The 11,563-nt window shown below is 44.9% G+C and overlaps 1 pseudogene, besides 3 other annotated features; it reads left to right on the forward strand.

Annotated features, from left to right (window-relative positions):
- Positions 311 to 837: an enhancer, noted in NCBI's record as "H3K27ac-H3K4me1 hESC enhancer chr6:4971812-4972338 (GRCh37/hg19 assembly coordinates)". NCBI's record gives its function as "activates a minimal SCP1, AML or CMV promoter by ChIP-STARR-seq in naive H9 embryonic stem cells {active_cell/tissue: H9 hESC(naive)}" and the evidence as "EXISTENCE:reporter gene assay evidence [ECO:0000049][PMID:30033119]".
- Positions 838 to 1,362: an enhancer, noted in NCBI's record as "H3K27ac-H3K4me1 hESC enhancer chr6:4972339-4972863 (GRCh37/hg19 assembly coordinates)". NCBI's record gives its function as "activates a minimal SCP1, AML or CMV promoter by ChIP-STARR-seq in naive H9 embryonic stem cells {active_cell/tissue: H9 hESC(naive)}" and the evidence as "EXISTENCE:reporter gene assay evidence [ECO:0000049][PMID:30033119]".
- RPS18P8 (ribosomal protein S18 pseudogene 8) lies at positions 7,762 to 8,268 on the forward strand (annotated as a pseudogene).
- Positions 10,474 to 10,674: a silencer, noted in NCBI's record as "peak5629 fragment used in MPRA reporter construct". NCBI's record gives its function as "represses an SCP1 promoter by STARR-seq MPRAs in K562 erythroleukemia cells {active_cell/tissue: K562}" and the evidence as "EXISTENCE:reporter gene assay evidence [ECO:0000049][PMID:32103011]".

Consider the following 11,563-nt stretch of genomic DNA (forward strand, 5'->3'; position numbering starts at 1 on the left):
GTGCTTGTAGGGAGGGAGGCTCTGGTAATATTCTCTTTCTTGATTCGGGTCTGGTGTCCCAGGTGTGCCTACTTTGTGACAATTCATCAAGGTGTACTCAGGGTTGGTAGTTTTTCTGTATATATATTACACTTCTCTCTCTGTCTCTCTCTCTCTCCCTATATATATATATGTATATATATATATTTTGAGACAGAGTCTCACTCTGTCACTCAGGCTGGAATGCAGTGGTGCAATCTAGGCACACTGAAACCTCCACCTCCCGGGTTCAAGTGATTCTCATGCCTCAGCCTCCTGAGTAGCTGGGATTACAGGCACGCGCCAGCACACCCAGCTAATTTTTGTATTTTTAGTAGAGATGGGGTTTCGCCATGTTGGCCAGGATGGTCTCAATCTCCTGTGTGTTGTCTATGTCCAAATTTCCTCTTCTTATGAGGACACCAATTCTACTGGATTAGGGGCCACTCTGATAGCCTCACCCTAACTTAATCACCTCTGTAAGGAGCCTATCTCCAAATACAGTCACATTCTGAGACGCTAGAGGTTAGGACTTCAACAGTGAATTTTGGGGGGACATAATTCAGCCTATAACAGGCCTGCTGGACTTGGCATTGGGAAGTCATTGATGGGCTCGATACAAACAAGGGGAGAGAAGAGGAAAGGAGCCGGCTGCAGGCCTGGAGGGAGTGAAAGGAGCCGGCTGCAGGCCTGGAGGGAGTGAAAGGAGCCAGCTGCAGGCCTGGAGGGAGTGGGGGGGACATGGGGCAGCCCAGGAGCTGACCGTGGGCAGGAGCTGGATGGAGAAGGAGTCTCCAGGCTCAGGAGGGACTTGAGCAGGGCACAGGCTGAGGGAAGCGTGGAATGAGGGAGGGAAGGGATGAAAGGTAGGGTCACAGAGCCACTGGCCGAGCATGCGTGTCCACCTGGGGTCCAGGTTGGCCCACATCAAGCACACTGAGTTAAATCTCCAGGAGAGCATGGAGCCTGCCCAGAGACTGTGTCAAACCCTGATGCATCCTGACTGTCACTCCCTCAGGAATAGTGACCAAGGGAAGAACTGTTCACCCTGGAACACCAGAGCTTGTGTCACTGTGGCTTCATGGAACAGAAATGTCAAATCTGTGGATTCAGCTGATAATTCTCTCGTTAGCCACAAGATATTTTCTAAATTAAAAAAACAATTTTTTGCACTTACGTGAGGTTCCTAGAGTAGTGAATTTCACAGAGACAAACGGGGGTTGCCAGGGGACGGGGAGAGGAGGAGTGAGAAGTGAGTGTTTAATGGGACAGAATTTCAGTTTGGGACGATGGAAAGGACCTGGAGATGGATAGTGGCGACGGCTGCACAGCAGTGTGAAGGCACTTAACACTGTTGAAATGCACACTGAAAAATGGTTAAGATGGTACACGGTGGGAGGCCAAGGTGGGTGGATTGCTTGAGCCCAGGAGTTCAAGCCAGCCTGGGCAACATGCTGAAACCCCGTATCTACTAAAAACACAAAACATTTTTGGGCATGGTGGCGTGCACCTGTAGTCCCAGCTACTCAGGAAACGGAGGTGGAAGGATTGCTTGAGCTGAGATAGTGCCACTGCACTTCAGCTGGGCCAACAGAGGAAGACTTTCTCAAAAAAATAAAAATAAATATAGTTAAGATGGTACATTTTCCGCTGTATTTTACCACAATTTAAATAAATAAATTGTTAGGCCAGGTGTGGTGGCTCATGCCTGTAATCCCAGCACTCTGGGAGGCCGAGGTGGGTGGATCACTTGAGGTCAGGAGTTCAAGACCAGCCTGGCCAACACAGTGAAACCCCGTCTCTACTAAAAATACAAAAAGTTAGCTGGATGTGGTGATGCACACCTATAATCCCAGCTACTCGGAGGCTGAGGCAGGAGAATTGCTTGAACCCGGGAGGTGGAGGTTGCAGAGAGCTGAGATCACACCACTGCACTCCAGCCTGGGTGACAGAGCGAGACTCTGTCTCAAATAAATAAATAATGGGTAAATAAATTGTTTTAAAGAAAGATTTCTATGGAGTTAGTTTTCCCCCTTGACATGCATTTTTTGAATATTTGAGACAAAATATCCCTAATGGTCTTGATCAGCAAAGCTGTTTTTTAAAAAGTGTCAGAAGAGTTGCTCGGAACAGTCCATGAAGTACAAATAACTTGACCTTTCCAACGGGCGAAAAGAGAGTTAGGAAGTTGGTACTCAGTGAGGCGATCTTGTCAACAAACAGTTCGACTGAACTGACATTGACTGGGCACCCACTGTGCGCCAGGCGTGGTAGGGAGGGAGATTTGTCTGTCTGATGACTTGGTTGTTTCTCGTGCTCTGCTTTTTGATGATCGGCATCTTGCTTTCGAGGTGGATAGCCGAGTGTCGAGCAGTGCTGTGATGTGGGGTGCTCCCTGCTCTCCCATTTCTATGGCCTGGTCTTTTCCCAGAAGCAGCTGGGATGCTCCATCTTGCCCTCCCTTCGGTCCCTTTGTGTCTTGGGTGTCCTTCCAAAGTGGGGAGGCAGATCCGAGTCCTTCCCATGTCCTCACCTCAGAGGCCCAAGTGCCTTCCAAGTGTGAAGACTTAAAAAAAAAAACAAACCTACCATGGAGGGTGGTGGGGGAGGATTGGAATTCCAGAAAATTCTGAATGAAAACAGCAGTTGCAAAACGGAATGGCTTTGCAAACTGCAGCCGATTATTCAGTGACTGTCTTGGGCTTTGGCCGGACCACTCGAAAATCTGCCGCTGAAGGATCCAGGGAGAGTGGCAGAAAGCACAGGGAAGCTGGAACCGAGGGGCTGGACCCAGCTCTCCAGGAGGCCCCAGCTCCCAGCCCACCAGCTCCCAGCCTCAGGCCCTGTTTGGCTGTGACTGAGGAAGCTCAAGCCCCAAAGCCAGCATAAAGCAAGCGTTGGGGCAGCTCCGGTTTCAGCCGGACTTGCCTGTGTGTAATCCTGGGGCTGGGTAATCTGATGCCCCAAACTCAGAGCCGGTTCTGGCTCTTGGCTCCGGTGGCCTGGGGAGCTGAGGCTACTTTTCAGGGACACCAGAAATGTCTGTATTCTTTCTCAGATGGGTCGGCAGACTGTTCTGGGTGCCAGGTCTTTGATGAAATGGATTTGGATACAAATCAAATATTTAAATTGGTGTTTTCCCTCTTTGGAAGGACCATTCCAGCTGGACCTGTGGACTTGTTTTTACATAAGATTTGGACTCCTTTAAATGTGCATTTTTTTTTCCATCTTGAATACGCCTGGGGCAGACAGTGGCTGTATTTGGAAGCCCCGAGGCTGCTGGTCTGGCTGAGACAGGGAGCAGGCACCTCAGCTAACCCTCTTGGCCGAAAGTGCACTTGTTAGAAAACCAATTCATGTGCCTGCTGGCTCCCCATGGTTATATATTATTTAATCACGCAGGTCTTGGGTTTATGCCAAGCAGCAACTTGCTGTCTGCCATCTTTCAGGGAAGAATAAGCAAGGCAAATTCATTCAGTTCTGTCTCTTTTTCAGCTTCCTGGGCTAAATGAAGGCAAGAAAGTGTTTATGAACATCCCAAAGTGCTGTGAAATATCCATCTTGGTGAAAATAGACACCCTGCTTCCTTTTGAAAAATAGCATTTTGTGAAAGGAATTTTTACCCATACATTTAGCTCAGATATTTCTAGATATTTCAAAGGGCCTCTCTTCTTCCCTTTACTTTAGACAGAGAGAGAGAGACTAAAGATATGTGAAATTCCTTTAGCCACAAGCTTGTTTGGGACCTGGCCTGGGGCACGAGTCTTCATCCTGGCTGGTGACGGCTGACACCAGGGCATACAGTGGCAGTTATCAGAGAATTTCCAGGGAGGTGCAAAAACTCGGTACCTTTACTCCTACAGAGCCCACAAAGCCCTGTGCACAAAGCCCCCCTGCATCTTGGAAGGAGCAGGTGGGACATTTTGTTTTGGGGATGGGGTCCGGGACGAGCTGTGAGCTCCTCTCTGTCCCGCCATCCAGGTGGTCTTGGAAGGAGCAGGTGGGACATTTTCTTCTGGGGATGGGGTCCAGGACGAGCTGTGAGCTCCTCTCTGTCCCGCCATCCAGGTGGTTCCACTGTTGCCCTGCTGAGAGCTGGAGGCCCCATTCCCCCTCCGAGCCCAGCCTGCCAGCCCCTTCACACGCCTTTAATCTGGCGCCTTCCTCCTAGCACGCACCTTTCTTTTTCTAAAAATAAAAATAAAAGTTTTATTTTATTTCAATAGTTTTTTGGGGAACCAGTGGTTTTCAGTTACATGGATAAGTTCTTTAGTGGTGATTTCTGAGATTTTGGTGAACCCATCACCCAAGCAGTGTGCACTGAACACAATATGTGGTCTTTTATTCCTCATCCCCCTCCCACCCTTCCTCCCTGGACTCCCCCTGGAGTCCATTACATCATTCTTAGGCCTTTTCGTCCACATGATTTAGTTCCCACTTGTAAGTGAGAACATATGATATTTGGCTTTCCATTCCTGAGTTAGTTCACTTAGAATAATAACCTCCGGTTCCATCCAAGTTGCTGCAAAGGCCATTATTTCATTTAGTTTTACATTTGAGTAGTATTCCACGTTGTAAATATACCACATTTTCTTTATTCATTCATTGGCTGATGGGCATTTAGGTTGGTTCTGTGTTTTTGCAGTTGTGAATTGTGCTGCTATAAACATGTGTGTGCAAGTGTCTTTTTTGTATAATGACTTCTTTTCCTTTGGGTAGACACCCAGGAATGGGATTGCTGGATTGAATGGTAGTTCTACTTTTACTTCTTTAAGGACTCTCCACACTGTTTTCCACAGTGGTTGTACTAGTTTACAGTTTCACCAGCAGCGTAAAAGTGTTCCCTTTTCACCACATCCATGCCAACATCTATTGTTTTTGAATTTTTTAATTATGGCCATTCTTGCAGAGTAAGGTGGTATCTCATTGTGGTTTTAATTTGCATTTCCCTGATAATTAGTGATGTTGAGCATTTTTTCTTTTTTCTTTTATTTATTTATTTATTTATTTTTTGAGACGGAGTCTCGCTCTGTCGCCCAGGCTAGAGTGCAGTGGCAAGATCTCGGCTCGCTGCAAGCTCCGCCTCCTGGGTTCACGCCATTCTCCTGCCTCAGCCTCCCGAGTAGCTGGGACTACAGGCGCCCGCCAATGTTGAGCATTTTTTCATATGTTCGTTGGCTATTTGTATATCTTCTTTTGAGAATTGTCTCTTCACGTCCTTTGCCCACTTTTTGATGGGATTATTTGTTTTTCTTTTGCTGATTTGTTTGAGTTCCTTGTAGATTCTGGATATTTATCCTTTGACAGATACATCATTTGAGAATATTTTCTCCCCACTCTGTGTGGGTTGTCTGTTTACTGTGCTGATTACTTCTTTTGCTGTGCAGAAGCCTTTTAGTTTAATTAGGTCCCATTTATTTATTTTTGTTTTTGTTGCATTTGTTTTTGGGTTTTTAGTCATGAATTCTTTTCTTAATCCAATGTCTAGAAGAGCCTTTCCAATATGATCTTCTAGAATTTTTATGTCTTCAGGTCTTAGATTTAAGTGTTTGATCCATCTTGAGTTGATTTTTGTATAAGGTGAGAGATGAGGATCCTGTTTCATTCTTCTACATGTGGCTTGCCAGTTTTCTCAGCACCATTTATTGAATAGAGTATCCTTTCTCCACTTTATGTTTTTGTATGCTTTGTCAAAGATCAGTTGACTGTAAGTATTTGGCTTTATTTCTGTGTTCTCTATTCTGTTTCATTGGTTTATCTGCCTATTTTTATTCCAGTACCATGCTGTTTTGGTGATTATAGTCTTGTAGTATAATTTGAAGTCAGCTAATGTGATCCCTCTGGCTTTCTTCCTTTTGCTTGGTGTTGCTTTGGCTATGTGTACTTTTTTTGGTTCCATATGAATTGTGGGATTGTTTTTTCTAGTTCTGTGAAGAATGATGATAGTATTTTGATGGGAATTGCATTGAATCTATAATTGCTTTGGGCAGTATGGTCATCTTCACAATATTGATTCTACCCATCCATGAGCATGGGATGTGTTTCCATTTGATTGTGTCATCTATGATTTCTTTCAGTAGTGCCTTGTAGTTTTCCTAGTAGAGATCTTTCACCTCCTTGGTTAAGTATTTTCCTAAGTATTTTATTATTATTATTTTAATTTTTTGCAGCTGTTGTAAAAGGGATTGAGTTCTTGATTGAGTCTCAGCTTGGTCATTGTTGGTGTATAGCAGAGCTACTGATTTGTGTACATGAATTTTGTATCGTGAAACTTTACTGAATTCATTTATCAGATCTAGGAGTTTTTTGGAAGAGTCTTTAGGGTGTTCTAGGTATACGATCATATCATCAGGAAGCAGTGACAGTTTGACTTCCTCTTTTCCAAGTTGGATGCCCTTTATTTATTTCTCTTGTCTGATTGCCCTGGGTAGGACTTCCAGTACTATGTTGAGTAGAAGTGGTGAAAGTGGGCATTTTTGTCTTGTTCCAACTCTCAGGGAGAATCAAGCACACACCTTTCTCCTTCCCTCTTTCCACCCTTTGTGCAGTCTGGCGGGAGTCGTGTTTTCCTACAGCGACTCTTTCTGTGTCATTTATTGCCAGGAATACATATTCCCAGAATCCCCTTTATTTACTCTGTCATTTGAGTGTCACCTGCATGGTGTCCAGGCTAGAGACCAGCCTCTTCTATGTCCGCAGTTTAAAGTTTCTGTCTTGGCACAGCCAAGCACACATCAGATGCTGGGTCAGACTCCTCAGAGCAATATCCAGGAGTCAGGGGACACAAGCGCTTCTATGCCTGTTGTTCCAGTGAGGAAGCCTTGACTTAAAACTATGGTTGTGGGAATTGAAAACTAACGAGAAGCTCAATGCACAGACTTGCTAAAAAGAGAGAGCACTGGTGTCCCTACCTCATGGGGTCCTTGGGAGAACTAAATAAGGAAACTCACACAGTTGCTTAGCGCTCCCTGGCACACGGTAAACTGTTGATACTTTAATCTCCTTGAACTGCAGGCATCCCTCAGAATTCAGTCCTTGGAGATCATATGTGGATCTACACAGTGTACAGAAGAAAAGTGCAAGAAGACTGCACAGCATCTAAAAGCTAAGCTTCTCCAGCTTGGGTGAATTCTGGGATCAGCAGATTCTCCCTTTAGGATCTGGGGGCTGCCACCCAGAATCTAGAATCAGGGCTGACAGTCACTGCTCGACCTCTCTCTCTCTCTCTCTCTCTCTCTCTCTGTCTCTCTCTCTCTCTCTCTCACACACACACACACACACACACATATGGGGAGGCCCAGGGGGCTACAGTGTCCAGAGTCAGCCCCTCCTGGAAATCCACAGCCCACCAGGTCTGTGTCAAGGCTTTGAAATCACATCCGAGTGTTTTGATTGAGAGCAAGTATGCTGCATGGAAAATGATTTCTTTGTAATCATTCAGTAGAAAAACGAAACTGTCTCCTAAATAAAATGTCAAACATCCTAAAGTGCCTGGGAGCGTAGTAGTGACATCAGCTTCAGAGTTTATTATTTCATCAATGGAGCCAGACTTGGTGCAAAAAGGCAAGGACACTTTATCAGAAAAGGAATTTTTTGGGGAAAAAAAATAAAACCTTTTGTTTTATGAGACCAGCATTACTCTTATAGCAAAGCAGCTGAGGACACTACAAGAAAAGAAAATTAAAGGCCAATATCCCTAATGAACATAGATGTAAAGGTCCTCAACAAAATACTAGCAAGCTACTCTTACACCAAAGTCCTACAGACTGCTGCTCATGCTGCCACCATGTCTTTAGTGATCCTTGAGAAGTTCCAGCACATTTTGTGAGTATTCAGTGGGTGACAGAAAATAGCCTTTGCCATCACTGCCATTAAGGGTGTGGGTTGAAGATATGCTCATGTGGTGTTGAGGAAAGCATATATTGACCTCACCAAAAGGTCAGGAAAACTCACTGAGGATGTGGTGGAGCATATCATCACCATTATGCAGAATCCATGCCAGTACAAGATCCCAGACTGGTTCTTGAACAGACAGGAGGATGTCGACGATGGAAAATATAGCCAGGTCCTGACCAATGGTCTGGAGAAACTGAACAAGATTTGGGTCAATAAAGGACCGCACCAATTCTGGGACTTTTGTGTCCAAGGTCAGCACACCAAGACCACCGGCCACCAGGGCCATACCATCGGTATGTCCAAGAAGAAATACGTCTGTAGGCCTTGTCTGTTAATTAATAGTTTGTATACCTAAAAAAATACTAGCAACTAGAATTCAACAGCACAGTAAAAGAACCATTCACCATGATCAAGTGGGATTTATCCTTGGAATGCAAGGATGGCTCAACATATGCAAATCAATCAATGTGATATACCACATTAACAGAATGAGGGACAAAAACCATATGATCATCTCAATATATGCAGAAAAGCACCTGACAAAATTCAATGTCCTTTGATCATAAAAACTCTTAACAAATTAGGTATAAAAGGAATCCACCTCAGCAAAATGAAGACCATATATGATAAGGCCAAAGTCAACATCATATTCAATGGGGAAAAGTTGAAAGCTTTTCCTTTAAGATCAGGAACAAGACGGGCATGCTCATTTTCACTACTTCTATTCAACATGGTACTGGAAGTCCTTGTCAAAGCAGTTAGGCAAGAAAAAGAAATAAAGGGCATCCACATTGGAAAGGAAGACGTTAAGTTGTCTCTGTAGATGACATGATATTATAACCCTTTGGGCAGTTAACACTCCCACTTCACCCTTGCAAGTAGCTGGGACTACTGGAGCACAGCACCATACCTGGCTCTATTCTTTTTTTTTTTTTTTTTTTTTTTTTTTTTGAGATGGAATCTTGCTCTGTCACCAAGGCTGGAGTGCAGTGGCGCAATCTCAGCTCACTGCAACATCTGCCTCCCAGGTTCACGTGATTCTCCTGCCTCAGCCTCCTGAGTAGCTGGGATTACCGGTGCCTGCCATGACACCCAGCTAATTTTTGTAATTTTAGTAGAGATGGGGTTTCACCATGTTGACCAGGCTGGTCTTGAACTCCTGACCTCAAGTGATCCACCCCCTTGCCCTCCGAAAATGCTGGGATTACAGGCATGAGCCACCACGCCTGGCCTCGTCTACTTTCTGTATCTATGAATTTGCTCATTCTATAAGTGAAATCATACAATACTGTTCCTTTTGTGACTGGCTTACCTCACTTAGCATATGTCTTTGGTTCATCTGTGTTGCAGCATGTCAGAATTGTAACCACCCAAGGGGTTCACCTTGCCTGCTGCCTAGACAGAGCCGATTTATCAAGACAGGGGAATTACAATAGAGAAAGAGTAATTCACACAGAGCCGGCTGTGCAGGAGACCAGAGTTTTATTATTACTCAAATCAGTCCTCCCAAAAAATTCAGGGATCAGAGTTTTTAAGAATAATTTGGTAGGTAGGGGGCCAGTGAATCGGGAGTGCTGATTGGCTGGCTCAGGGATGAAATCATAGGGAGTCGAAGCTGTTTTCTTCTGCTGGGTCAGTTCCTGGATGGGGGCCACAGAACTGGCTGGCAGGTCCAGGTAGGGCCGTCTGGATGTTAGAAATGCAAAAACCTGAAAAGACACCTCAAAAGGCCGATCTTAGGTTCACAGTAGTGATGTTACCTTCAAGAGTAATTGGGGAAGTTGTAAATCTTATGTCCTCTGGCATAATGGCTGGTAATATTTAGAATTCTAGCCCCTCTCATCTTACCTTGGTGGCTGGTGGCCTTTCATTTGTTTACAAGAACAGTTTAGCCTTTTGGGAAAGGCTATTATATAAACGATACACTAAATTTCTTCCCAAAGCTAGTTTGGCCTACACCCAGGAAGGAAGAAGAACAGTTTAGAGGTTAGAAACAAGATGGGGTCAGTTAGATCTGGTATCTTTCACTGTCATAATTTTCTCCATTATGATTTTTGCAAAGGCAGTTTCAGGATTTTCTTCCTTTTTAAATAAATACATGTATTCCAGCCTGGGCAACATAGTGAGACCCTGTCACTACAAAAATAACTATAAACATTAGCTGGGCATGGTGGTGCGTGCCTGTAGTCCCAGCTTCTCAGAAAGCTGGGGCGGGATTGTTTGAGGCCAGGAGTTTGAAGTTACAGTAAGCTATGGTCACACCTCTGCACTCCAGCCTTGAGCTTGATCTCAGGAGGCTGAGGCTCCAGTGAGCTGTGATTGTGCCACTGCACTCCAGCCTGAGAAACAGAGTGAGATCCTATCTCAAAAAAAAAAAAAAAAAAAAGAAAAGAAAAAACTCCAACTATGGAATCAAACTTAATTAGTAATTTTGGTTTGACTGCTTACTTAGCCATGCGGCCTTGGGAAGACTACTTAGTTTCTCTAAACTTATTTGTAAAATGTGAGTGTCAGGGAGGAAATAGAATTTGTCCTTAACTCTCATAAGTTCATAGTTAGGACAGACCCCTGTGGAAGAAAACCAGATTAACAAGAGAAAGATAAGCCAATTGATGAACACCCACAGTGCACACCGTGTGGAGAAATCTCAGTGAGAGGTCACTTGGAGCAGGGACTTAGAACTCTGGCTTATCTAGCATCTTCAACAAAGAACAATACAGTTTGGAGAAGCAGCAAGACAAAGCAGAACTGTGGGTCTCTGTGGGCAGCAACTCGAGGGAAGGCAAGCCATGGCCGATGCAGGTTCGTCAGCAAAGCTTGTTGTCTGTGGTTCCTTCTCCAGGCTGCTGGGGGCCCACAGCTGTCTTCGGTGGCAAAATTTGTTCTCCCTGGCAGAGCCAGGGACAGGACAGGATACCTTTTCTCTTTGTCAATCTATGTCCTGCCTTTTGGCAGACAGAGGGCGGGCATGGAGCTCTCCTGCATCAGCTTCTTATCCTCAGCGCAATCTACAATCCTTTGCGTTCTGGACCGGCATGTTCTGTTCTCCTGTGTGAGCAAAACCTGCCTTGAGGGGCTATAGGGGGCATGAACTGACGGAGGGTAGATCAGACGCTCAGCCTGCCTGAACACACAGGAAGTGCTCAGAAATGTCAGCTATTATTATGAAGTCAAATATACCAGCTGTACTTTTATTCTGATAACTTTAAAATGAAATAGGGGCAAAGTTTCCCAGTTGAGAAAAAGTGACACATTTTAGAAGTTCAGAAGGCATTATATGCCTACGACTTTCCCTCGGGAACAAAGAGATGGAGGCCTGTTAGAGACCTAAAAGAAACATGACAAATTCTGGCTGCTTATAGATCCAAGAGACTGCCCCCTATTCTCACGCCTCCCAATCTTCCCTGGGTGCAGCGTGGCCTGAGAGCCAAGAGGCACTAAGATGCAGTGTGCCAGATGTGAGCACCTCCTAAATGAAAGAAAGGCCTCCAACTTACCTCACCTGTTGAGAAAGACAAAATCTGTAAGAATATACTTTTTTTTTTTTTTTTTGAGATGGAGTCTTGCTCTGTCGACAGGCTGGAGTGCAGTGGTGCGATCTTGGCTCACTACAACCTCTGACTCCCTGGTTCAAGCGATTCTCTTGCCT

This window comes from Homo sapiens, chromosome 6, assembly GCF_000001405.40.
Source record: "Homo sapiens chromosome 6, GRCh38.p14 Primary Assembly".
Taxonomy (NCBI): domain Eukaryota; kingdom Metazoa; phylum Chordata; class Mammalia; order Primates; family Hominidae; genus Homo; species Homo sapiens.